Below are 27,768 nucleotides of genomic sequence, written 5' to 3'. Positions count from 1 at the left end.
TCCCACCCATCCCTATCCACCCAGTTCTCATCCCCTACCCCAAAGAGATAAACACTGTCTTTTTTTTTTTTCTGAGACACTCTTACTCTGTCACCCAAGGCTAGGGTGCAGTGGCACCATCTCGGCTCACTACAACCTCCATCTCCTGGGATCAAGCAATTCTCCCTGCCTCAGCCTCCCAAGTAGCTGGGATTACAGGCGCCCACCACTGTGCCCAGTTAATTTTTTTGTTTTGTTTTGTTTTTGAGACGGAGTCTCACTCTGTCGCCCAGGCTGGAGTGCAGTGTCACGATCTCGGCTCACTGCAAGCTCCGCCTCCTGGGTTCACGCCATTCTCCTGCCTCACCCTCCTGAGTAGCTGGGACTACATACAGATGCCCGCCACCACACCCAGCTAATTTTTGTATTTTTAGTAGAGATGGGGTTTCACCATGTTAGCCAGGATGGTCTCGATCTCCTGACCTTGTGATCCGCCCGCCTCGGCCTCCCAAAGTGCTAGGATTACAGGTGTGAGCCACCGTGCCCAGCCAATTTTTGTATTTTTAGTAGAGACGGGGTTTCGTCATATTGGCCAGGCTGGACTCGAACCTCTGACTTCAGGTGATCCACCTGCCTTGGCCTCCCAGGCGTGAGCCACCATGCCAAACCAAAATGCCAATTTCTTATGTGTCCTTCCAGAGTCCCTTTACATGTAGTCAAGCAAAACATAATCTTATTTTTTCCTGGTCTTTCTACACAAAAGGTAGCATTTTATACACAATGTTCTGCATCTCACAGGCAAATTTTTAATCCTAACATGTCCAGTGAAAGCAATAAATAATTTCAGTGGGACAAAGACTTTAGTTTACACTTCAGTGGACTTTATTTTTATTTTTTATTAGTTTTTATTTATTTTCTTGAGACAGAGTATTGCTCTGTCACCCAGGCTGGAATGCAGTGGTGCGATCTCAGCTCACTGCAACCTCCACCTTCCAGGTTCAAGCAATTTTCCTGCCTCAGCCTCCCAAGTAGCTGGGACTACAGGTGTCCGCCACCACACCTGGCTAATTTTTGTATTTTTAGTAGAGACGAGGTTTTACCATATTGGCCAGGCTGGTCTCAAACTCCTGACCTTATGATCAGCCTCCCAAAGTGCTGGGATTACAGGCGTGAGCCGCCGCGCCCAGCCTTAGTGGACTTTTAAAAGGAGAAATAGGCTGGGTATGGAGGCTCACGCCTGTAATCCCAGTGTTTTGGGAAGCTGAGGCAGGAGGATAGCTTGAGGCCAGGAGTTTGAGACTAGCCTGGGCAACAGGATCCTCACTAGACCCTGTCTCTAGAAAAAATATTTAAAAATAGCTGGGCATGGTGGCATGAGCCTGTAGTCCTAATAAAAAAATTAAAAGGAAGACTAGAAATAAATTATGTTAATGTTAGCAAAAGTCAGAAATAATAGAAATATAAAGGGAAGACAAAGTTCAAAGGGAAAAGGGGGTGCAGTCTAATAAATCTTAAAAACTTTTCTCTGCTAAAACATTGGACTATCTTGTCTTTCATCAGTAAAAAAATCTCCTTACAGATACACAAAAAATTAAACCAAATATTGGTGAGAAGAGAGAGGGGGATAAAAAGAGATCAATTAGAAATGAGAGAAAGGTACTTGTGTCAGAATGGACTAAATTGTCAACTGTGTACAACTACAGACATGTAGAATTACAAAACATGAGAGCTATTTTTAACAAATTATAACAGTTGGGCAAAGTGGTTCATGCCTATAATCCCAGCACATTGGGTGGCTAAGGATGTGGGTACACTTGAGCCCAGGAGTTTGAGAGCAGCCTGGGCAACATGGTGAGATCCCATCTCTACAAAAAATAAACAAAATTAGCTGGATGTGGTGGTACATGCCTGTATTCCCAGCTACTTGGGAGGCTGGGGTGGGAGGATTGCTTGAGCCTGGGAGGTTGAGGCTGCAGTGTGTTAAGATTGCACCACTGCACTCCAGCTTACGTGACAGAGGAAGACCTTTTTTCTTTTTTCTTTTCTTTCTGAGACGGAGTTTCACTCTTGTTGCCCAGGCTGGAGTGCAATGGCGTGATCTTGGCTCACCACAACCTCTGCCTCCCGGGTTCAAGCGATTCTCCTGCCTCAACCTCCTGAGTAGCTGGGATTACAGGCATGAGCCACCATGCCTGGCTAAATTTTTTTGTATTTTTAGTAGAGACAGCATTTCACCTGTCAGGCTGGTCTCGAACTCCCAACCTCAGGTGATCCACCCGCCTCAGCCTCCCAAAGTGCTGGGATTACAGGCGTAAGTCGCTGTGCCCAGCCGACCCTTTTACAAAAAAAAAAAAAAAAAAAAATATATATATATATATATATATATATATATATATATATATATGAACAAAATCTTACTTCTGAATGTTTATTAACAATGGTACCTGATATAGTTTGGATATTTGTTTCTGCCCAAATCTCATGTTGAACTGTAATCTCCAATGGTGGAGATGGAGTCTGGTGAAAGGTGTTTGGATCATGGGGCAGATCCCTCATGGCTTGGTGCTGTCTTCACCACAGTGAATTATTTAAAAGTGTGTGGCACCTTCACCTCACCACTCTTGCTCTTGCTCCTGTTTTCGCCACGTGATGTCCCTATTCCCCCTTCATGTTCTGCAATGATTGCAAGCTTCCTGGGGCCTCCCCAGAAGCAGATGCTTCCTGTACAGCCTGCAGAACCATGGGCCAATTAAACCTCTTTTCTTATAAATTACTCAGTCTCAGGTATTTTTTTATAGCAATGCAAGAACGACCTAATACAGTACCAGTTTAAATAGGTAAATGATATAGCACTTTCGCGTCTAAGCCATCATCAATTTTAGCACCATGTTGTTGGGAGGCTGAATAAAAACATCTTTGCAGAGGCTGGGCACGGCGGCTCACGCCTGTAATCCCAGCAATTTGGGAGGCCAAGGTGGGCGGATCACGAGGTCAGCAGATCGAGACCATCCTGGTGAAACCCCATCTCTACTAAAAATACAAAAATTAGCCAGGCGTGGTGGCAAATGCCTGTAGTCCCAGCTACCTGGGAGGCTAAGGCAGGAGAACCGCTTGAACTTGGGAGGTAGAGGTTGCAGTGAGCCAAGATCGCGCCGCTGCACTCCAGCCTCTGTGACAGAGTGAGACTTCATCTCAAGAAAACAAAAAACAAGAAAAACAAAAACAAAAACATCCTTACAAAAGCTTTTCCAATAATGTTTATGAGAAAATAAGCCTTTACTCTCAGTGCAGCTTAAGTAGCTATTGTCTCGGCGCAGAGCTTCCTATACCATCTGGCCCACGCACCTTTACAGGCGAGCTGAAGTTGGTATGCAGTCAGTTTCCAGGGCCTGATCCTCTATCCCTAACTCTTGTAAGAGTCTCCAGCAGGGACCTAGCATTCCTGAACCAGTATTGCTTCTTCTGTAAGTCCCAAGGATCTGATCCAAGCTTTCACCAGTGTATATCTCTACTGATACAAATCTGGAAGGAAGTGGTTGGGAATCCTGACATACCACTTCTCAAAGATTGCTAACCTTTGGCCCAAGATACCCTTCTTAGTCTTTAACTTACTTGAAAACAAAAAGGTTATTTTAAAGCCTGATAGAACTTTGCATATATTTTCTAAAAGGAACAGTGGTCATATCTGAGAGTTAGCTTTCAAGACCAAAACATTCTATTCAACCCATAACATGACTGTCATCTTTAACTGGGAAAAAAAAATAGCACAAAACAATGCTGTTGCAATGACATGAGCAAAAAAAAAAAAATTATAAATAGCTTTAAATTTTATAGTTCATGCCAATGCTTAAGGAAAAAGAGCTTATTTAGAGAAGAGGAGGTGGGTGTGGACTTCTGTGGATATTTTGAAAGGAATTACTAGGTATTCTCAAGGGCTTCAAAGGTTGAAACCACTAGTTCTTTATAATGTCTATGTTTCTTCCCAAACTAAAAGCTTTCCTTTTCCTTCTTAAAGGCCTGCTCTTAAATGTATTACCATGATTAGTATCCATTTTGCTTAAGACCAACATGAAGAGAGTGGGATAGAGAAAAGACAGAACTTTTCTTAATGCAAGAGGTGGAAGAAGAGAAAAAAAGAACAAGGTTTATAAAGGAGAGCAAACTCTCAGAGAGCAGGGGAGGCCACAAAGGGTGCAGGAGCCCACACCTGCTATACACTGTGTGTTGTAGATTGTGTACTCACACCTTGGGGGAAGAAAAGGGGATGGATGGAGAGATGTCAGCACAGACCGATGCTATCTGGAAAGACTGGTGGCTTTAGTATGTGAAGAGGGAGCTGTGTGCATGAAATTATACTAAGTCAAGTGTTACTGACTCTGAGACAGCCTATGATAGGATCACAAGAAACTTCAAGGTCACCTATTCCCACCATTGGTGGCGGTGCTGTTTAAACCAATTATACTGTAAACAATGTACTCATTATTAGACGAGTATTTCAAAACATCTCCAGTTCAACTGTTCTAATTTCTTTTTTGTTTGTTTTGTTTGTGAGACAGGGTCTCACTCTGTCACCCAAGCTGGAGTGCAGTGACATGATCCCAGCTCACTGAAACCTCCGCCTCTGCAGCTCAAGCAATCCTCCCACCTTAGCCTTCCCAGTAGCTGGGGCCACAGGTGTGTGCCACCACACCTGGCTAATTATATATATATATAATTTTTTTTTTGAGACAGAGTTTTGCTCTTGTCACCCAGGCTGGAGTGCAGTGGTGCGATCTTGGCTCACTGCAACCTCCACCTCCCGGGTTCAAGCAATTCTCTTGCCTCAGCCTCCCAAGAAGCTGGGATTACAGGCACCCACCACTATGTCCAGCTAATTTTTATATTTTTAGTAGAGAAAGGGTTTCACCATGTTGGCCAGGCTGGTCTCAAACTCCTAACCTCAGGTGATCCACCCGCCTTGGCCTCCCAAAATGCTGGGATTACAGGCGTGAGCCACTGCGCCTGGCCCAATTTTTTATATTTTTTGTAGAGACTAGGTTTCACCATGTTGCCCAGGTCAGTCTCAAACTCCTGAGCTCAAGCGATCTGCCCACCTCAACCTCTAAAAGTGCTGGGGTTACGGGCATGAGCTACCATGCCAGCTGTTCTAATTCCTAACTGAAATTTAGAACAGCCACTTTTTCCTTGGTTCAAGTCAATTATTTCTGCTTCTCCTTTAGTGATTACAATCAATTACATGTGAACATCCTATCATTTCTCTTCTTAAATATCTTGTATCTTAGATGAACTTATAATACGAATATTGACGGACTCTCATTAGAAGAACATGCGCTTTATGTTAATTTGGATGGATTTGTCAGTCTATCCACACACCCTCATTCCCTTTATGAGCGGTAGTATAAATTTCCAAGAGTGTTAGCCAGGGCTGGGGCATGGCAGGTGGCCAGGAAACAGTAAAATAACTGGTTCAAAGGTGCATGGAATCTGTGACGTTGGCTGGCTACGTAAGTGTGATTCTCTAACCAACAAAGCAAGCCTGTATAAGAGAAACTTTTAAAAATGGCATTGAAGATATGCACATGCACACACAAATAAAAGCCTAGAAGGATATACTCCAAAATGCTAATAGCCGCTTGCCAATGAGCGATAGATTTACTGGTAATTCTTATTTTCTCTATTTCTTCTTTTATTTGTCCAAAAAAGTATTACTTTGGTGATTTAAATATATTTTAAAAGACTCAAAATGGTATATATGTCAGCAACAGAAATAACAGAAAATTGATAATCAATTATAAAGCGGAATACTATGCAGCTATCAAAACTAACGATATAGATCTATAGATGTCTATATATAGTGTTAAATAAGAAACAGGATGGGCACAGCACAGTGGCTGACATCTGCAATTCCAGCACTTTGGGAGGCAGAGGCAGGAGGATTACTTGAGTCCAGGGGTTCGAGACCAGTCTGGGCAATATAGTAAGACCTTGTCTCTATTAAAAATTAAAAAGAATTAGCTGGGTATGGTGGCACATACCAGTACTCAGGAGGCCAAGGCAGGAGGATTGCTTGAACCCTAGAGGTCGAAACTGCAGTGAGTCACAGTCGTGCCACTGCATTCCAGCCTGGGAGATAGACTAAAACCCTGTCACAAGATAAACAAACAAACAAACAAACAAATAAAAGAAAAAACAAAACAACAAATTGTGTAAAACAATCCCCATTTAAAAAAAAAAACTCTTGTGTACATATATAGATACACAAATTTATGTAAGCATGAAAAAAGTTTAGAAGGGTATAAAAACAGCAGCAGTAGCAGTAATCTCTGTAGATAAAATTAGAGTGGAGAGGATGTATTTTTTTATTACATATGCTTCTCAATTGCTTGAATTTAAGAGCATACATACTTTTTTATTGGGGGGGATAGGGTCTCAATCTGTCACCTAGGCTGGAGTGCAGTGGCACAATCATAGCTCACTGTAACACTGAATTCCTGTGCTCAAGCAATCCTCCCACCTCAGCCTTGTATACCTTTACAATTTAAAATTTAGAAAATGGAAGACAAAACTAAAATTAAAACGGGGGGGAAAGATGCATGCATTTTCTCGGAAAACTAAGAATATGATTCCAAAATTCTCTTTGAGCTGGTCATATATAAAACATACATGTGGCCGGGCACGGTGGCACACACCTGTAATTCCAGCACTTTGGGAAGCTGAGGTGGGCGGATTATCTGAGGTCGGGAGTTTGAGACCATCCTGACCAACCTGGAGAAACCCTGTCTCAACTAAAAATACAAAATTAGCTGGGCGTGGTGGCACACATCTGTAATCCCAGCTACTCAGGAGGCTGAGGGAGGAGAATCACTTGAACCTGGGAGGCAGAGGTTGCAGTGAGCCAAAATCGTGCCACTGCACTCCAGTGGGAGCAACACAGTGAGAGTTTGTCTCAAAAAAAACAAACGAAACAAAACAAAAACTACATACGTGTGCATTAGATTCTATAGACTATATACTGGTCATACACACACACACACACACACACACATAATATATATATGTGTGTATATATATACACATATATATATTTATCTGCATGTATAGATGCTGAGTTGGAAATTGAATCTTTTTAAGTTAACCTCTATCTATTTTTGGTTAGAAAATAGGGAGGTAGGCTGGGAGCGGTGAGTCATGCCTGTAATCCCAGCACTTTGGGAGGCCGATGTGGGCAGATCACTTGAGGTCAGGAGTTTGAGACCAGCCTGGCCAACATGGTGAAACCCTGTTTCTACTAAAAATACAAAATTAGCCAGATATGGTGGTAGGCGCCTGTAGTCCCAGCTACTTCGGAGGCTGAGGCAGGAGAATCGCTTGAACCCCAAAGGCGGAGGTTGTAGTGAGCCGAGATCATGCCATTGCACTCCAGCCTGGGTGACAGACTGAGACTCCATGTCAAAAAAAAAGAAAAAAAAAATAGGGAGGTAAATAACTAGAGTAGGCCGGGCGCAGTGGCTCACGCCTGTAATCCCAGCACTTTGGGAGGCCAAGGCGGGTGGATAACTGAGGCCAGGAGTTCGAGACCTGCCTGGCCAATACAGTGAAACCCATCTCTACCAAAAATACAAAATCAGCTGGGCATGGTGGTGCACAACTGTAGACCCAGCTTCTCAGAAGGCTGAAGCACGAGAATCGCTTGAACCTGGGAGGTGGAAGTTGCAGTGAGCTGAGATCATGCCACTGCACTCCAGCCCGGGCAAGACAGCGAGATTCTGTCTCAAATAATAATAATAATAATAATTAATTAAAAACAGAACTAGAATAGTAAAGTTCCTTCTCATTTTCAAACTTATGAAGCACCACTGTCCTTGAATACGTTTCATTCAGCAGTCTGTAGACTGGCTAATCAGTGAGTCCTACTTTTGTATATGAATATATTACATATGAAATCCAGTTTTCTTTTCTTTTTTTTTGAGAAGGAGTCTCACTCTGTTGCCCAGTCTGGAGCACAGTGGTGCGATCTCGCTCACTGCAACCTCTGCCTCCTGGGTTCAAGCCATTCTCCTGCCTCAGCCTCCCCAGTAGCTGGGATTACAGGCATGCGCCACCATCCCCAGCTAATTTTGTATTTTTAGTAGAGATGGGGTTTCTCCATGTTGGCTAGGCTGGTCTCAAACTCCTGACCTCAGGTGATCCACCAGCCTCAGCCTCCCAAAATGCTGGGATTATAGGCGTGAGCCACCAAGCCCAGCGTTTTTTTTTTGTTTTTTTTGTTTTTTTTGTTTTTTTTTTTCAGATAAAGAGTTTCACTCTTGTTGCCCAGGCTAGAGTGCAATGGCACGATCTTGGCTCACTGAAACCTCTACCTCCTGAGTTCAAGAGGTTCTCCTGCCTCAGCCTCCCAAGTAGCTGGGCTTACAGGCATGCACCACCATGCCCAGCTAATTTATGTATTTTTTTTTTTTTTAGTAGAGACAGGGTTTCGCCGTGTTGGCCAGGCTGGTCTCGAACTCCTGAACTCAGGTGATCTGCCCACCTTGGCCTCCCAAAGTGCTGGGATTACTCGTGTGAGCCACCGTGCCTGGCCTCTACATTTTAATTATCTGCCAACAAGCTCGCTTAGTGGCTTGAAGAAAGCTACCTACAAGAACACTTCTGCACTTGATGGTACAAAGTAACTCTGCCCACCAATATCACATCATGCCAAGAGATGTTTCTAGTTCTTCTCAAACTTTCATTTCATATAGGTCTTTCCTATATGTATGGCCCTGTTAGGAGAAGCACAGCTGCACTGCACAGGAATCCTCTGCCACAAGACCTCACTAACATCACTTACTTCACACACATCTCCATTTTCCGTCTTACATATTATCAGTCCCTCATCCTCTAACAATTCCCCTTGTATCTTCATGTTTCTTTCAGTCACCCCCAACCCCCCCGCCCAAAGAAAGCAGATTTTGCTTTAGCGTAATAGAAGAACAGTGGCCACCAGGAGGTGAACTTAGGCAGGTTTTCAGGACTTTGTCCAATTTCTCAAGTCCTTTACTATTTCTCCAAAGGCAAGGATACTGCACACTGCCCTAATTCCCTTTGAAAACCCTCTAGCTCAGCTTCAGACAGCCAATACAATTTTACTGGGTGACGCTTTGAATTGGCCTTCAACATCTGATTTCCACATTGTCTTCCTCGGCAATGACAACTGAAAGTTAGCATTGAGTTAAAACTACTTTGACGTGAACTACAAGATGCGGAAGTAGCACCTCTTAGATTTACCACTTTTCTCCATGATACTGGGCAGGGGAGAGTGAAATGAGAGCAAAGTCTCCACCATGAGAAATGGAAAAGGTAAAGGAAAACAGAGACACTGAGTCGCTTAAAATAATATGGGAGCTGTTACATCTGTCAGGAATAACATGTTACATAAGTTGAGTTTCATGAATCAGCAGTTTAGTCAGTAATTTACATTAATTTTTTTCAAAAAGAGAAAACATGAGAACTGGAAAAGGTAAAGTGGTTTCTGAAACAAGACAGGTTTCAAAGGTATTTTATTCCACTCCCACACAGAAGAACGTTGACAGGCAGATGACTCAGTCTGGCTTCATTAAGGGTTTCTTACTGCCTAATACACCTCATGGGAAAGGCCATCCCATCTCTCATATCTCCCTGATAACTCTTCTCAATTCCTCCTGCCAGGTAATGGCCATATTATCCCCTCTAATTGAAGGTTATCCACCTGGAAATCACATACTTTAGGTACCAAGGGCTATACTTAAAGCATATAAATAGTTGAGGAATTTTGTGTGTGTTTTTAAAGACCCTTTATGCTAAATTCATTGCAACATTTCAATAAAACACATAGTTTTATTTCAAAAATATTTACAATACCTATGATCATTGAGTTTGAACTTGATCATAAATCTAAGTAGTTTAGAAAGATAAGAAAGCTGTGGCCAGGCACGGTGGCTCACGCCTGTAATCCCAACACTTTGGGAGGCCAAGGCAGGCTGATCATGTCAGGGGTTTGATAATAGCCTGGCCAACATGGTGAAACCCTGTCTCTACTAAAAACACAAAAATTAGCCAGGTATGGGGGCATGCACCTGTAGCCCCAGCTACTCGGGAGGCTGAGGCAGGAGAATCGCTTGAACCCGGGAGGCGGAGGTTGCAGTGAGCCTAGGCTGCGCCATTGCACTCCAGCCTGGGCAACAGAGCAAGACTCTGTCTCAAAAAAAAAACAAAGAAAGAAAGAAAGAAAGCAAGCTGTCAACATAAACATAAATACCATGTGTCCGTTCTAAACTCTCAAAACTAGAGAAAAAAGGTAGGATGAAAAAAATACCCAACCTATTTTCTTTTTCAAAAACCAGAGGTGGCAAATCTTAAGAAATAAGTCCAAAGGGATTCCCATCCTTTTTGTAGAAAATGTGCTGTATTAGATACTGTCTGAAATGAGAGAGGCATTGGATTAGGCCTGGAAATCTCTCAGGCATAAATCAATTACTACGGTATTTTGAGAGACATGTTTTGAAAGAGCAAGATATCTGAAGCCATTTGGAGTCATTCATTCCACAGATGTTTATTACAGGCCTGCACGTGCCAGGCACTGTCCACACACCTGCCCTCCATTCAAGCTCTGCCTCTCACCTGCTGTGCAATCCAGGCTAAAGCACTTTAACATTTCCATGCCTCAGTTTCTTCATCTGTAAAAACAGGTAATAAAAAGTAATTAAGAGATCAACCATACAAGATCTCTCTGAAAGGTAAAGGAGTATGTCTGGAAGCACTTTGTAAGCCATGAAAATGCTAGGGGTCATCCGACTAAACTGAATTCACAAATGACACTAATGCCTGTTGTGTCATAAATTATTAATATATCAGAGGAACATGAGCCTTCTTGCTTCAAGAGACACTTCATAATCCTATTAAATAAGGCTTATCGGCTCACTTAATCATCTCTCTGAAAAGTTAAATATATGAGAGAGAGATAAGGGAGGGGGGCACAGAAAGGGAGTGAGGGAGTCAGAAAGCTAGTCTGATGTGCAGATTTTGACATTACATTCATAGTCACAATAACAAGAATCATGTCTATCTTAGTCACCACATTGGGTCTCTAATGGTGCACATTTGAAGAGGGCATGTTATTCTGAAAAAATATTCTCTGCATATCTGCAAATCACAAAAGGTACACCTATGAGGCTGACCTACCAATTCAATGTTTCCAAGAGCAAATAGCAGTAAAATTACAAAACGTTATTTGTTATGTTGATGTGTGCAAACAAAAATGTTCTATTTTATAGTACATTTCAAGTTCAATCTGACCCTCATATCTAAACTATGTCATATAAATAATGTCATATAAACAGTGTCGAACAGATCAGGAACAAAGCTCTTTTCAAAAACAAAAGTAGGCTCCATGCAGTGGCAGTTAAAGAAGGGGAAGTTCTGGTGTCTCCAGAGTTAGCCGATGGGCACAACGGCAGTTGAAAGAGACCATGTTACACAAGTCATTCAGGTTCTGGCCAACATCTGCTTTGAACAGGTCGCATTCCCAGGAGCTCCAGGCTCCCTTACCCCAGGGAAATGCTGGGGTGGTGGCTTGTCTTACAGAAGTGGTAGCCAAGGGGACCAGAAGGCACACCCGGTGCTAAAACATGCCTAAAACTTCCTCTAATGTTTACAGCTCTTCCAATGACATTTGGGGAACTAAAGTATGGATAGCCTCTTCATTGCTAGAACCGCTATAATATGATAAGTTAAGAATTTGATTTAATATTTATAAAGAACTTAGAAAGAGCCCAGCGCATAGTAAGGGCTATGTAAGTGTTTGGTAAATAAAAAAAGGCACCTCCCAGATTGGCTGGGTGAAGTCTCAATCTGGTGAGAAGGGAGAGAATCAAAATACACAACAGTCTATTTTTCACTTTGACAAAAGATTTAGAAATTACAGTGCTCTGTATTTATTTTGCACCCAAGTGCACACTAAGTAGTCTCTGGTGCAGGACTGAAATTCTACTCATGGTTCAGAAGTCACTGTGCACAACTCAATGAAAGCGTTTTAAGTTTCAAGAGATGATTCCTTTCTCTTTTCTCTTTCCAAGTAACGATGACTAAAAATGACAGAATCTAAAAATCTCAAAGCACTTCTTGTGGGTACATTCCAAAGCTAAAACTGTGAGAATTAATAGGGCCAGATTCACTTGAAGAGACGTAAGGGTTCAAATTACAGAGAACTTAAAAGACGCAACGTATTAAGGTCTTTTACTACAGATCCGCTGACAACAGGTTAAACGATTCCATCCACCCCACTCTGGCGGCTGCCCCCTCCCCGACCCTCGCAGGTGACCTGCACCCACTTTCGACCTCAGATAGGGTCTCCCTGCTCGGCGTTCCCAGTTCCTCCAGGCTCGGCGGCTGCGTGGGGGTTAACAAGGTCCAGCCACCGACGCCCCTTGGGCGTTTAGGAATCTCGAGGCAGGATCTGAATTCACCTCGTGGAAACAAAGACCACAAACTCTCCGGGAGCCGGGGGCTGGGCGGAGGTACGGCTTTTTCCGAGGACAGGCAGCGGCCGAGGCCCGGGCAGCCCTCGCCCCGCCCCGTCTCCTCCCGCCCCGGGCCGCCGTCGGAGTCCCGGGCGCGCGGACCCTCCCGCCGGCCCCGCACCTACCTGGCCCCGCGGTGCTGCTCCCGGCGCGGCGGGCGCGGAGCCGAACGCACTGCGCTTCCTCCTTCCCGGCAGGGCCGCCGGGCGCCGGCGTTTCCTCCTTGACGCGTCACGGCCGCTGGCGGCTCCTCCCGCGGAGCGCGCGGGAGGCCGAGGACAGCCGGGGAAGGCGCCGGATCCCAGCAGAGCGGCGCGAGCGGCGGGCCGGGGGCAGCCCGTGCGGGGAGGGGCTGCAGGCTGCGTCCCGCTCAGGCCTCCGAGGAAACCCGCGCTCCTCTCTCTTCCCCGAGGACCCCCGCGAAAGGCCGGGCCACGGTGCACCGTCTGCCCCCGTCACGCGCTGTGCAAAGTTCAAGAGGACACAGTGGGTCCTGTCTGGAGTCACAGACTCTGGTGTTTCCCTCTGCTCCGCCCGCAGTGGCCGCTACCCTGGGGCCCAAGACCGGCGCGGGCCAGAGCGCCGGGGCCCAACAGAGATGACCTGGTGTGTGCAGGGATCAGGACCCCCCGGGTGGGCCCGTGGTGTTGGGGGGGTTGGCTTGGTGTAAACTGGAAACTCAGAGGAGTGAATTAAATATCCAAATAATTGAGAACAACTGTGATTCATTTAGCATTATTTGGACAGTTTTCCACTTTTGTCATTAGCAGAGTTACGGCCCTTGTGTTTATAAACAGTCGAGAACTTTCACAAATTGGCAGATCCTGTGTGCAGAGAAATTTCCTTTCCACACATCTTTTTAGATCTACTGACTCTTTTTTTTATTCCCATTAATCTCCAAGTCAGCTGAGTGCACACTTTACAGCTCCTTATTACTCATTCTTGAATTACAGAAGCTGCGTTTTAGATCTGTTTATCTCTTTTAACAGATAGAGAAGCTGAGTGGAGAACTAAGAATTACATGGTTCAATGGATGTGGAGTCAAGTGGTTAAGATTTTGAAGTAGAGTGGGTTGTTTTCTTCGTCCCACAACACTACTGTAATTTAGGTCTTATCAGATATCACTTGAAGATAGACTCAGACAAGTACTTAAAGATTCCCATGTGCATATCATGCCTTAGATTTTGAGACAATGATTTGTACTTTAGATCATATGATTCCAGAGAATTTGCCACAAATCTATGAACAAATAAACTGCCAAAGGTTATTAGAGGAACTGGGATCTATGTGTGACTTCCCTAAATTCAGAAGACATTTCCTCATGTTTTAAAATGATATTCAAAGATTTAGCCCCACAAGTATGGGTTAGGACATTCATTTTTAATGTCAATAACCACAATGTGGCCTCTCTTTAAAAAGTGGATTGTGAATCCAAATACTTTTTGTACTTCAGTAATCCTACAGAACTTTCTAAACAGTAGTTTTCAGAAATGAATATAAGAATGCAGTAGATACAAAACAATACATTGCCGGTGGTCCTTTATATGTTTTACTGTGGTCCACAAAGCAATCCACATACATTAGAGGAGTTCTTCCCTTGTAACAAAATCAACAAGTGATGAGTGTATCTCTTAATTAAAGCCATATTCACAGTGCTGAAGATTTCTCAGACAAAAGGAAGTTCTGTGTCAATAAACTCCAAGTGGAATAACATCATTCTCACTTTAGAGACAAATACCTGGCTATCACCACATCTTGACTTTTTAAAAAAATAAACATCTGGGAACCATTACATTTCTAGATAAATTTGTCCTATTGTGAAGAACACACACACACACACACACACACACACACACACACACACACACAGAGATCACCTCCCACAAACATTTTATGTATTTTCTTTTTTTTTTTGAGACGAGACGGTCTCACTGTGTTGCCCAGGCTGGGTTCATTTGATCAACAGACAACATGTTAGGCATTTTGCCTTTACAATCTGAGAGCTGCAATTTAATAGCTAGATTTTGCAAAAAGCTAGAGGAGGTAAATATATTCACAAACTACTAAGGACTTTTTCACTGTAATTAAATTAGTTTTTTTTTTTTTTTTTTTTTTTGAGATGGAGTCTCACTTTTGTTGCCCAGGCTGGAGTGCAATGGCACAATCTCAGGTCATTCCAACCTCCTCCAACTTCCGGTTTCAAGCGATTCTCCTGCGTCAGCCTCCCGAGTAGCTGTGATTACAGGTGCCTGCCACCACGCCCAGCTAATGTTTTGTATCTTTAGTAGAGACAGATTTTCGCCATGTTGGCCAGGATGGTCTTGAACGCCTGACCTCAGGTGAGCCACCCGCCTTGGCCTCCCAAAGTGCTGGGATTACAGGCGTGAGCCACCATGCCCAGTCTAAAATTGGTTTTAAGGGCAAATTTTAAGGCTGATCACTTTGTTGTTGTTGTTGTTGTTGTTTTGGTTTTTTTTTTTTTTTTTGAGACAGGGTCTCACTCTGTCACCCAGACTGGAGTGCAGTGGCGTGATCTCGGCTGACCGCAACCTCTGCCTCCCAGGCTCAAGCAATTCTCCTGCCTCAGCCTCCCCAGTAGCTGGGATTACAAGTGTGCGCCACCACGCCCGGCTAATTTTTGTATTTTTAGTAGAGACAGGGTTTCACCATGTTGGCCAGGCTGGTCTTGAACTCCTGACCTCAAATGATCCACCTGCTTCAGCCTCCCAAAGTGCTGGGATTACAGGCTTCAGCCACCGCACCTGGCTAAGGCTGATCACTTTGATTAATTGTGTTCACCTATTGATAGAGATATAGGTTATATCCCCATTTTCTGTTATGTTTCCAAGTTTAGACTGTAAAAAAAAAAGTTGTTGAATGTTCAGCTAAATGTCTAGCTGATGTTTATACCTTTATGAAATATTTCATGTAAATAAATTTTAAAAATAGAGCTTTTTATCAGACTATGGGTCCCAATACTTTCTTTGAAAATATGATTCTGTTCATTCAGATAGAGCAAATATTTTGTTCATCTGTTTTATCTATAGTGTAGAGATTTTGAACACAAGCTTTGGAATTGGACAGACCCAGGTTTAACTCCTGGTTTGCCACTTCCTACTTTGGGCAAATTGTTTCACTTCTCTGAGCACCGGTTTCATCAGTAACCTGGGGATAATAGTGCTTTTTCCTCTTCAGTAAAACGGAGATAATAGTGCTAATCTCATGAAATTGCTATGAGGATCAAATGAATTTAGTAGAATGCCTGGAACATAATACCAAGTGACTGCTATCTTCATCATTATTAGCTCTAAAACATATATTAAAATGCCAATATTATATATGTTTTATTTGTAATAGTATTAAAATGGCCAGATTTTAGAAATTTTGGCGGTGGCTCACGCCTGTAATCCCAGCACTTTGGGAGGTCAAGCCGGATGGATCACGAGGTCAGGAGTTTGAGATCAGCCTGGCCAACATAATGAAACCCCGTGTCTACTAAAAATACAAAAAATTAGCCAGGTGTGGTGGTGGGCACCTGTAATCCCAGCTACTTGGGAGGCTGAGGCAGGAGAATCACTTGAACCTGGGAGGTGGAGGTAGCAGTGAGCTGAGATCACGCCATTGCACTCCAGCCCCGGGCGACAGTGTGAGATTCCGTCTCAAAAAACAAACAAAAAAACCCCAACTACCCAGCCACATAATGTGGTTATTACGATTATTTTAGATCATATATTCCAATGAAATGAATGCTTGGTTTTCATCCTCCACTATTCAAAATGGGAAACCTTTTCTCTAAAATGGTGCCTTATGTGGAAGCATTATTACTTTTTTATATCATAATAAAGCCCTCTATTATTTGTAGTTCTTTTATCAGAACCTTGGAAGAAGTGAGGGGCATAAAAATACAAGAAATACCACTTCCATTAGTGAGGGCTGGTATTCATTAGAATGCTTGTTTTTTGCCAGGCACCGTGGCTCATGCCTGTAATCCCAGCACTTTGGGAGGCTGAGGCAGGCAGATCACCTGAGGTCAGGAGTTCAAGACCAGCCCTGCCAACATGGTGAAATCTTGTAGCTACTAAAATACAAAATTAGCCAGATGTGGTGGTGGGTGCCTGTAACCCCAGCTACTCAGGAGGCTGAGGCAGGAGAATCGCTTGAACCCGGGAGGCGGAGGTTGCAGTGAGCCGAGATCTCACCACTGCACTCCAGCCTGGGCAACAAAGCGAAACTCCAGCAAAAAAAAAAAAAAAAAAAAGGAATACTTGTTTTATAGCAGATAAAATATTAAGTCTAGAGAGGTAAGAATAATCCTACCAACTATATGCTTACAAAAGCAAAATACTTTTTTTGGTTTGTTTTGTTTTTTGAGACAGGATTTCATTCTGTCACCCACCAGGCTGGAGTGCAGTGGCGTGAGCTCGGCTCACTGCAGCCTCGACTCCCTGCTTTCAAGCCATCCTCCCACCTCCTGAGTTGTTGGAACTACAGGCTTGCGCCACCACCTCAACAAATTTTTAAAATTTTTTGGAGTCAGGGTCCCACTATATTGCCCAGGCTGGTCTTGAACTCCTGGCATCAAGTGATCTTCCTATCTCGGCCTTGAAAAATGCTAGGATTACAGGTGTGAGCCACCTCGCCCAGCCTCGCAAAGGATGGTTTTGATTCATATTATTTGCATTGCTTTTAGGGTATCTTTTCCCTCATTCTGCTGAAGACTCACATGCTTAAGTGGGTCAGACACCATAAGTTGTTGCTATAGTTTCTAGCTATGTTTATCAGCTGACATTCTAATCACAACATCCCACAGTATCAAATAAAAGAAAACCATTTTTGTGGAGAAGATAGTTAAAAACATAATCCTAACTATGAATTGGCTCAGATTGTAATAATTAAAAGGAAAACCTTGCTGTAAAAATGGGTAAAAATATGGGGAAACAAAAGTGACTAATTTATTAAATTTTCTTTTTTTTTTTTTTTTGAGATGGAATTTTGCTGTGTCACCCAGGCTGGAGTGCAGTGGTGTGATCTCGGCTCACTGCAGCCTCCATCTCCTGGATTCAAGCAATTCTCCTGCCTCAGCCTCCCAGGTAGCTGGGACTACAAGCACACACCACCACACCTGGCTAATTTTTGTATTTTTAGTGGAGACAGGATTTCACCATATTGGCCAGGCTGATCTTGAACTCCTGACCTCAACTCATCCGCCCACCTCAGCTTCCTGAAGTGTTGAGATTACAGGTGTGAGCCACCGAGCCTGGCCTAAATTTTCTTTTTTTTTTTTTTAAATTTCTCTCTCTCTCTCTCTTTTTTTTTTTTTTTTTTGACTGGGTCTCACTTTTTTTTTTAGAGACAGGGTCTCACTCTGTTGCGCAGGTTGGAGTGCAGTGACACAACCATGGCTCACTGCAGCCTCAACCTCCAAGGCTCAAGCACTCCTCCCACCTCAGCCTCCCAAGTAGCACCACAGGTGCACACCAACACGCCTGGCTAATTTTTTATTTTTGTAGAGACAGGGTCTCCCTATGTTGCCCAGGCTGGTCTCAAACCGCTGGCCTCAAGTCATCCTCCTACCTTTGCCTCCCAAAGTGCTGGGATTACTGGTGTGTGCCACCATGCCCAGCTGACTAATTTATTAAATTTTCTGAGCAAAACAATTTAATAAAACATAAAGCAACCCAAGATACAGTTAGAAAAACTCAGGCCAGTAGTGGTGGCTTACGCCTATAATCCCAGCAGTTTGGGAGGCCGACATGGGAGGATCCATTAATCCTAGGAGTTTGAGACCATCCTGGGTACCAAAGTGAGACCCCTCCCCTTGTCTCTATAAAAAAAAATTAGCTGAGTATGGTGGTGCACACCTGTAGTCCCAACTACTTGGGAGGCTGAGGTGGGAGGATCACTTAAGCTTAGGAGGTCAAGCCTGTAGTGAGCTATGATTGCCCCACTGCAGTCCAGCATGGGCAACAGAGGGAGACCCTCTGTTTAAAAACAACTGGCCGGGCACGGTGGCTCACGCCTTAATCCCAGCACTGTGGGAGGCCTAGGTGGGCGGATCACGAGGTCAGGAGATTGAGACCATCCTGGCTAACATGGTGAAACCCCGTCTCTACTAAAAATACAAAAAAATTAGCCGGGTGTGGTGGCGGGCACCTGTAGTTCCAGCTACTCTTGAGGCTGAGGCAGGAGAATGGCGTGAACCTGGGAGGTGGAGCTTGCAGTAAGCCAAGATCGTGCCACTGCACTCCAGCCTGGGCAACAGAGCGAGACTCCATCTCAAAACAAAAAACAAAACAAAAAAAAACAACCAAAAAAACCCTCAGTGGCCGAGCACGCTGGCTTACACCTGTAATCCCAGCACTTTGGGAGGTCATGGCAGGCGGATCACCTGAGGTCAGGAGTTTGAGACCAGCCTGACCAATATGATGAAACCCCGTCTCTACTAAAAATACAAAAATTAGGCTGGGCGTGGTGGCTCACGCCTCTAATCCCAGCACTTTGGGAGGCCAAGGCAGGTGGATCACAAGGTCAGGAGATCGAGACCACGGTGAAACCCCGTCTCTACTAAAAAATACAAAAAAATTAGTCGGGCGCCGTGGCAGGCGCCTGTAGTCCCAGCTACTCGGGAGGCTGAGGCAGGAGAATGGCGTGAACCCGGGAGGTGGAGCTTGCAGTGAGCCGAGATTGCGCCACTGCACCCCAGCCTGGGAGACAAAGCAAGACTCCGTCTCAAAAAAAAAAAAAAAAAGTACAAAAATTAGTCGGCATGGTGGCATGTGCCTGTAATCCCAGCTACTTGGGAGGCTGAGACAGGAAAATCGCTTGAACCCGGGAGGCGGAGGTTGCAGTGAGCTGAGATTGAGCCATTGCACTCCAGCCTGGGCAACAAGAGCAAAACTCCGTCTGAAAAACAAAAACAAAAAAACCCCTCAGTTGGCCAGGTGCAGTGGCTCATACCTGTAATCCCAGCACTTTGGGAGGCCAAGGCGAGAGGATCACTTGAGGTCAGGAGTTCGAGACCAGCCTGGCCAACATAGTGAAACCCTGTCTCTACTAAAAATACAAAAATTAGCTGAGCGTGATGGTGCACCTGTAATCCCAGCTACTTGGGAGGCTAAGGCAAGAGAATCACTTGAACCCGGGAGGGGGCGGTTGCAGTGAGTCAAGATTGCGCCACTGCACTCCAACTTGGGGGACAGAGCAAGCCTCTGTCTCAAAAAAAAAAAAAAAAAAAAAAAAAAAAGGGCCGGGCGCGGTGGCTCACGCCTGTAATCCCAGCACTTTGGGAGGCTGAGGCGGGCAGATCACGAGGTCAGGAGATCAAGACCATCCTGGCCAACACAGTGAAACCCCGTCTCTACTAAAAATACAAAAATTAGCCAGGCACGGTGGCTCATGCCTGTAATCCCAGCACTTTGGGAGGCCGAGGCGGGCGGATCACGAGGTCAGGAGATCAAGACCATCCTGGCTAACACAGTGAAACCCCGTCTTTACTAAAAATACAAAAATTAGCCGGGCGTGGTGGCAGGCGCCTGTAGTCCCAGGTACTTGGGAGGCTGAGCCAGGAGAATGGTGTGAACTCGGGAGGTGGAGCTTGCAGTGAGCTGAGATCGCGCCACTGCACTCCAGCCTGGGTGACAGAGTGAGACTCCTTCTCAAAAAAAAAAAAAAAAACCCTCAGATACACATGGGAACTGAAATTGAGAGCAATTAACGCCTCTTTAGCACAGAGCAGAATTAACTTGTTTCTATGATTTGAAAAGGGTTCAGCATGTGTTCATTTTGTGGGGTAGGGTATAGGTGGGAGGCCCAAAGCTGAACGTCATTTCTTGGGCCAAATTAGCCAATTCAAACTCAAAACTGAAATGCTTGAAGTTCAAGTATGTTTCATAACAGGTAGGAAACTCTATTTTAAAACAAGACTACATTAGGATCAAATATAAGGCTTTTCAGATCACAGGACTTTCTCATTTTCTGTATTAGACTCATGAGAAAAATCAAGGGGAAGTGTTAGGAGATCAGAACACTTAAACTGCTAGCATCAGCTTTTTGATAAAAAGTAGCTAGAAATTATTTTAAATTTCCCTAAGACCATTAATTATCTAAAATAATATTATTATACTTTCCTATTAGGGAAATCTCATTGTCTTCCAATCTTGTTTTTATGAATGTCAAGAATAAAATATAAATCATTCATTTTTCTCTTTTTTTCTGTATCTCATTTAGTCTATTATGTACATAAAATAAAAGTCTGTTAATAGTTGACAATAATTTATTTACATAAGTCGTGTCAGCAGTTTCTACGTCCAGGGGATCATATTAGGGTAGGTGGACTAAACCTGCTAGGTGGACTTTGAAGATAACTATTATTTTAGTTGCTTATCAGTGGGGAATAATAGCTTTTCTTAAACACTGTTCATTTGGTGACTCAGTTATTTACTTCTATTATGTGCAATTAATGATTGAACCTATTTCAAATGCAAGGGCTTAATAGCTTCTGGCATAAAGAGGTGCATTGCTGTTATTTCCTTAACAAATTCTCTAAGGAATCTGTGTCTGGCCCAGCCAGATGTGTCAAAGACTTAAGTAGACCTTAAGGAATTATAACTCTTCATACGCAAGAAGACTCTTAAATTCCCCTGAGTTTTCTAAGATAAACAACCCCAGCTCTTTTAACTTTTTCTGTCATTTTAAAAAATATTTTATGACTCTCATAGGAGTTTTTCCCAAATTCTCCATGTTTTCTTTAGATTTTAGAGGAGATGCCCAGTATGAGACATGGAACTCTATAAAGGATCAAGTGAGTCCTTAGTATCATGGAGTGCAGTGGTGCGATCTCAGCTCACTTCAACCTCCACCTCCTGGGTTCAAGCAATTCTCCTGCCTCAGCCTCGCAAGTAGCTGGGAATACAGGCACCTGCCACCATATCCAGCTAATTTTTGTATTTTTAATAGACGCAGGGTTTCACTATGGTGGCCAGGCTGGCCTCAAACTCCTGACCTCAGGTGATCCGCCTACCTTGGCCTCCCAAAATGCTGGGGGTACAGACGTGAGCCACCGCACCTGGCCAGTTGACACTCTTTTTTTTTTTTTTTTTTTTTTGAGACGGAGTCTCGCTCTGTCGCCCAGGCCGGACTGCGGACTGCAGTGGCGCAATCTCGGCTCACTGCAAGCTCCGCTTCCCGGATTCACGCCATTCTCCTGCCTCAGCCTCCCGAGTAGCTGGGACTACAGGCGCCCGCCACCGCGCCCGGCTAATTTTTTGTATTTTTAGTAGAGACGGGGTTTCACCTTGTTAGCCAGGATGGTCTCGATCTCCTGACCTCATGATCCACCCGCCTCGGCCTCCCAAAGTGCTGGGATTACAGGCGTGAGCCACCGCGCCCGGCCGACACTCTTATAATGCAGCCTTGTATTAATCTTACGTTTAAAATTACACTTCAAAAAAATCACATTTCATTATTATCAGATTTTAAAATCTAAACTCAGCCTCCTTTTATTTCTCAAATTATATTTAAGAAGTTGTTTTGATTATCCTATGTAATTCCTCTGCATTTGTTTTACTGAAACTGTATTTCTCCTGGATAATTTTAAATTTCTTCATATTTGCTAAGGCGAATGGTATTGAAAGTGGAGACTGGACATCCAAAGGGTCCTCAAGGCAATCTACTACAAGTTCAGAAAGAACAGAAAGAAAATATTACAACATCCATTTGTTTTCTCTAAAAAGTAAGAAACAGACCAGGTTGGCTCATGCCTGAAATCCCAGCACTTTGGGAGGCTAAGGCGGGTGGATCACTTGAGCTCAGGAGTTCAAGACCAACTTGGGCAACATGATGATACACCGTCTCTACAAAAATATAAAACTTAGCTGGGCATGGTGGTGTGCATCTGTAATCCCAGCTACTCGGAATGCTGAGGTGGGAAGATAGCTTGAGTCTGGGAAACGGAGGTTGCAGTGGGCCAAGATCGCACCATTGCACTCCAGCCTGGGTGACAGAGTGAAACCCTGTCTAAAAAGAAAGAAAGAAAGAAATTAAGCTTTATTATTTAACATAAATGTGACACTGGCATGCTCATACAGTCCTTTGTCAGTCATGTCAGAGGTGTGCTGTGTGAGGTAACCTGAGAAGGACAGACTTTTCACAATTAAAAGGGTTGACTGGGTGCCCTAGTTCATCCACAATCAGTCTATTGAAGTTGTATGTAGTATAGGACATCATTGATGTGGTCGATTTTGTAAAACTAAATCCCTTCAATAGAATCTACATAATACCTTATACTGAGATGGGGAGTGATTGTGAAAACTTTTTATTTTCTAGCAAAGTATTCAACATACTCGAGGTCAAAAGCACAGATCCTGGACACACACTGCCTAGGTTCTGACCACAGTTCTCCCATCACCAGCCATGTAATCCCAGGAAGATCATTTAACTCTCTGAGGTTCAGTTTCTTCATCTGTGAAATGGAGATAATAGTATCTACTGCATTGAGTTGTTCTGGGGATGAAGTGAGTTGATACATATGTATATAAAAATCTCTTAGTATAATATCTACTACCAAAATCAGCTTTACACAAGCTCTGGTTGTTATTACTTAAAAGAGTATTTGACTATGAAGAAGAATTATGCATTTTCGCTGACAAAAAATACAAGTGATTCAGATTTCTTTACCTTTTCTGTGATAATCCCTGTGGGTTGTATTCTATGTAGAGGATATTAAACATACATATTTTCTTTTTCTTTTTCTTTTTTGAGACAGAGTTTTGCTCCTGTTGCCCAGGCTGGAGTGCAATGGCGTGATCTTGGCTCACTGCAACCTCTGCCTCCTGGGTTCAAGTGATTCTCCTGCCCTCAGCCTCCCAAGTAGCTAAGATTACAGGCATGCGCTACCCTGCCTGGCTTATTTAGTGTTTTTAATAGAGATAGTGTTTCCCCATGTTGGCCAGGCTGGTCTCGAACTCCTGACCTCAGGTGATCTGCCCGCCTCAGCCTCCCAAAGTGCTGGGATTACAGATGTGAGCCACCGTGCTCGGCTGCACATTTTCTTTTAAGGTAAAGTTTTAGCAATGAGTGAGAGATTAACTTCCTTCCTTCCCACTCCCTTTAGTGTAGATGGGTTTTGAAATAAACAGTTTGGAGAGAGTGTCTTGGAAATATTTCCATCAGTATGTGACTTTGTTGCATGGGAAACTGTGTGTGTGTGTGTGTTCGTGTCCTATTAAAACTCTATCTAATATATATATTGCACTGGAATTTTTGAAACACAATTTTCTACTTGTTTAAACATTTTCCAGTTAATGCATTTCAGTGGGTCTTAAAATTTATTTGATGAAAAAATAAAAGGCAGTGTCTTTAAATTCGTTTGCAAGAATTACTGACTGAGGCTGGGCACAGTGGCTCATGCCTGTAATCCCAGCACTTTGGGAGGCTGAGTAGTGGGGGATCACTTGAGCGCAGGAGTTTGAGACCAGCCTGGGCAACACAGCGAGACCCCGTCTCTATTAAAGAGAAAGAAAGAGACAGATTGAGAGAGGAAGGAGGGAGGGAAGGAGGGAGGGAGGGAGGGAAGGAGGGAAGGAAGGAAGGAGGGAAGGAAGGAAGGAAAGAAGGAAGGAAGGAAGGAATTACTGACTGACAGCAGAGAGAATGGAAATTTACTAGTCAAACTTCGACAAAAACCTTTACAGAACTGGATGATGGGACTGAAAAAGAAAATGAGTACTTTAATAGATATAGCCAATAACAATGCATCTCTTCCATTTAAATCTAAATATCTTTATGAAATATCTCTTCAAAATATCTTCTCACCTGTGACAGCCATTAAAGTGAAGTATTAGAATAACTAAACTTAAAATTAGACTTTCTAATGACTGCATCACAAAGTGTTAAATCAAGATTTTTTTTTTTTTTGAGATGGAGTCTTGCTCTGTCATCCAGGCTGGAGTGCAGTGGCGCGATCTCGGCTCACTGCAAGCTCCGCCTTCCGGGTTCACGCCATTCTCCTGCCTCAGCCTCCTGAGTAGCTGGGACTACAGGCGCCCACCACCAGGCCCAGCTAATTTTTTGTATTTTTAGTAGAGACGGGGTTTCACCGTGTTAGCCAGGATGGTCTCGATCTCTTGACCTCGTGATCCACTGCCTCGGCCTCCCAAAGTGCTGGGATATACAGGCCTGAGCCACGGTGCCTGGCCAAAAAGTCTTTTCTACTATTAATAAAATACTATTGGGCTGGGCGCAGTGACTCATGCCTGTAATCCCAGCACTTTAGGAGGCCAAGGTGGGCGGATCACGAGGTCAGGAGTTCAAGACCAGCCTGGTCAGCATGGTGAAACCCCGTCTCTACTAAAAATACAAAAATTAGCCGGGCGTGGTGACAGGTGCCTGTAATCCCAGCTACTTGGGAGGCTGAGGCAGGAGAATCGCTTGAACCCAGGAGGCAGAGGTTACATTGAGGTGTGATCACACCATTGCACTTCAGCCTGGGTGACAGAGCGAGACTGCATCTCAAAAAAAAAAAAAATACTATTAAGGCCAGGTGCAGCGACGCACACCTGTAATCCCAGCACTTTGGGAGGCTGTGGTGGGCAGATTGCTTGAGACCAGGAGTTCAAGACCAGCCTGGGCAACACATCAAAACTCCATTTCTACCAAAAAAAAAAAAAAAAAAAATGGCTGGAGCTGGGTGTGGTGGCTCACACCTATAATCCCAGCCCTTTGGGAGGCCAAGGCAGGTGGATCACTTGAGCTTAGGAGTTCGAGACCAGCCTAGGCAACATGGTGAAATTCTGTCTTGACCAAAAATAGAAAACATTAGCCAGGTGTGGTGACACATGCCTGTAGTCCCAGGTACTTGGGAGTCTGAGGCGGGAGGATCACTTGAACCCGGAGGCAGAGGTTGCAGTGAGCTGAGATCACACTGCACTCCACCCTGAGTGACAGAGTGAGACCCTGTCTCAATAAAGAAAAAAAAGAATTGGCCAGCTGTGGTGGTGCAGGCCTGTAGTCCTAGCTACCCAGGAGGCTAAGGCAGGAGGATCATTTGAGCCCAGGAGTTTAAGGCTGGAGTGAAGTGAGCTATGATGGCACGACGGCACTCCAGCCTGTGTGACAGAGTAAGACCTCATCTCTAAAATTAAAAATTAAGGTGGAAGAAGGAGGTGATAGAATAGAGTCAGGGAAAGAGATGTAACTATGGAAGAATGGTCAGAGAGATGCAACACTGCAGGCTTTGAAGGTGGAGAGCACATCAACAGAATGAGATCCTGTCTCTACAAAAAATTTTTTAAGCCGGGCGCAGTGGCTCACGCCTGTAATCCCAGCACTTTGGGAGGCTGGGGCAGGCGGATTACCTGAGGTCCGGAGTTCGAGACCAGCCTGGCCAACATGGTGAAACCACATCTCTACTAAAAATACAAAAATTAGTCGGGCGTGGTGGCACACGCCTGTAATCCCAGCTACTTGGGAGAATGAGGCAGGAGAATTGCTTGAACCTGGGAGATGGAGGTTGCAGTGAGCCAAGATTGCACCACTGCACTCCAGCCTGGCTGACAGAAAATTAAATACCATTAAATTACTTTAAATATATTGGTTATTTTATATTTTAAAATTTGGGGTTTATATTTTACAATACATACAATGTATTAATATAAGAGGTCACAAATACATAGTTTAGGCCTGGCGTGTAATCCCAGCACTTTGGGAGGCCAAGGCAGTTTGGGAGGTTGCAGTGAGCCGAGATCGCACCCCTGCCACTCCAGCCTGGGTGACAGAGGAAGACTCCATCTCAAAACACACAACACACACACACACACATCCAAATACATAGTTTACATGTGAGTGTACATGTTTCAACATTTATATGAATGGAATGCATAAAAAAGCAAAATGGGATAATGTGACTGGGCAAGGTGGCTCATGTCTGTAATCCCAGCACTTTGGGAGGCCGAGGTGGGAGGATTGCTTTACCCCTGGAGTTCCAGACCAGCCTGGGTAACATGGCAAGACATCATATCTATTAAAAAAAAAGAATAGAAATATTAGGTAGGAGTGGTGGCGCTCACCTGTGGTCACAGCTACTCAGGAGGCTGAGGTGGGAGGATCACTTGAGTTAGTTAGGTCAAGGCTGCGGTGAGCTGTGATTGCACCACTGCACTCCAGCCTAGACCACAAAGTGAGACCTTGTCTCAAAACAAACAAAAAATGCATAATGTTAGTTACCTTCTACATCCCTATTCCTTGGTTTGATATCATCTAAGAATGTAACGTCTAGGCCATGCGCCATGGCTCACGCCTGTAATCCCAGCACTTTGGGAGGCTGAGGCGGGTATATCACGAGGTCAGGAGATCGAGACCATCCTGGCTAACACGGTGAAACCCCATCTCTACTAAAAATACAAAAAATTAGCCGGGCGTGGTGGTGGGCGCCTGTAGTCCCAGCTACTCGGGAGCCTGAGGCAGGAGAATGGCATAAACTTGGGAGGCGGAGCTTGCAGTAAGCCGAGATCACACCACTGCACTCCAGCCTGGGTGACAGACCGAGACTCTGTCTCAAAAAAATATATTTATTTTTTTTTATAAAATAAGTGTATATATAATATATATACACTTATATATAATATAATATATATATTATATATATATATATTCCTTCATCCAATAACTATTTGTTCAGTACCTAGTGTGTGCCAGGTACTGTGCTAGGCTCAGAGAGGTAAAATATTAAAATATCATCACCATGCTCAAATGGCACTTTATAAATTGTTGGGTACTGGGGTTTAATACCTGGGTCATGAAATAATCTATACAACAAACCTCCATGACATGAGTTTATCTATGTAACAAACCTTCGCATGTACCTCCTTCCCCTGACTCCACTCCCAGGCTTTTTTTTTTTTTTTTTTTTTTTTTTTTGATACAGGGTCTCAAGGCTGTGTCTCCCAGGCTGGAGTGCAGTGGCATGATCTTGGCTCACTGCAGCCTCAGTTTCCTGGGCTCAAGTAATCTGTCCACCTCAGTCTCCTGGGTAGCTGGGACTACAGGTGTACACCACAACACCCAGCTAATCCAGGCCTTTAAATAGCTAATAATGTGCTAGGGATTGGAATTTGAATCTGAATCTGGCCATCTGAACAGCCACTTAGTTTTTGTATAGTTTAAATGAGCCATTTGTGATGTCTCTTCTAGATATCTGCAAGGTGCTTTTATGACAGTCAAGTGCATATAAATGTTACTGATTCAACAAACATTTCCT

General features: G+C 44.0%; 2 protein-coding genes across 2 annotated transcripts in view, besides 1 other annotated feature; both read right to left on the bottom strand.

Moving 5' to 3' along the window:
• The window catches only part of SGK3 (serum/glucocorticoid regulated kinase family member 3), a 149,242-nt gene extending 136,549 nt beyond the window's left edge, over positions 1 to 12,693 (bottom strand). The window contains exon 1 of the mRNA NM_001033578.3: positions 12,641 to 12,693. The gene's annotated coding sequence lies outside the window, so the exon portion shown is untranslated. The remainder of the gene's footprint in view (positions 1 to 12,640) is intronic.
• The window catches only part of C8orf44-SGK3 (C8orf44-SGK3 readthrough), a 194,427-nt gene that overhangs the window by 136,549 nt on the left and 30,110 nt on the right, over positions 1 to 27,768 (bottom strand). The window lies entirely within an intron of this gene.
• Positions 12,515 to 12,984: a silencer, noted in NCBI's record as "silent region_19255". NCBI's record gives its function as "represses an Ori minimal core promoter by ATAC-STARR-seq in GM12878 lymphoblastoid cells {active_cell/tissue: GM12878}" and the evidence as "EXISTENCE:reporter gene assay evidence [ECO:0000049][PMID:35858748]".

Source organism: Homo sapiens, chromosome 8 (assembly GCF_000001405.40).
Source record: "Homo sapiens chromosome 8, GRCh38.p14 Primary Assembly".
Lineage (NCBI taxonomy): Eukaryota > Metazoa > Chordata > Mammalia > Primates > Hominidae > Homo > Homo sapiens.
The sequence above is the reverse complement of the archived record's forward strand: the minus strand, read 5'-3'. Positions and strand labels throughout refer to the sequence as shown.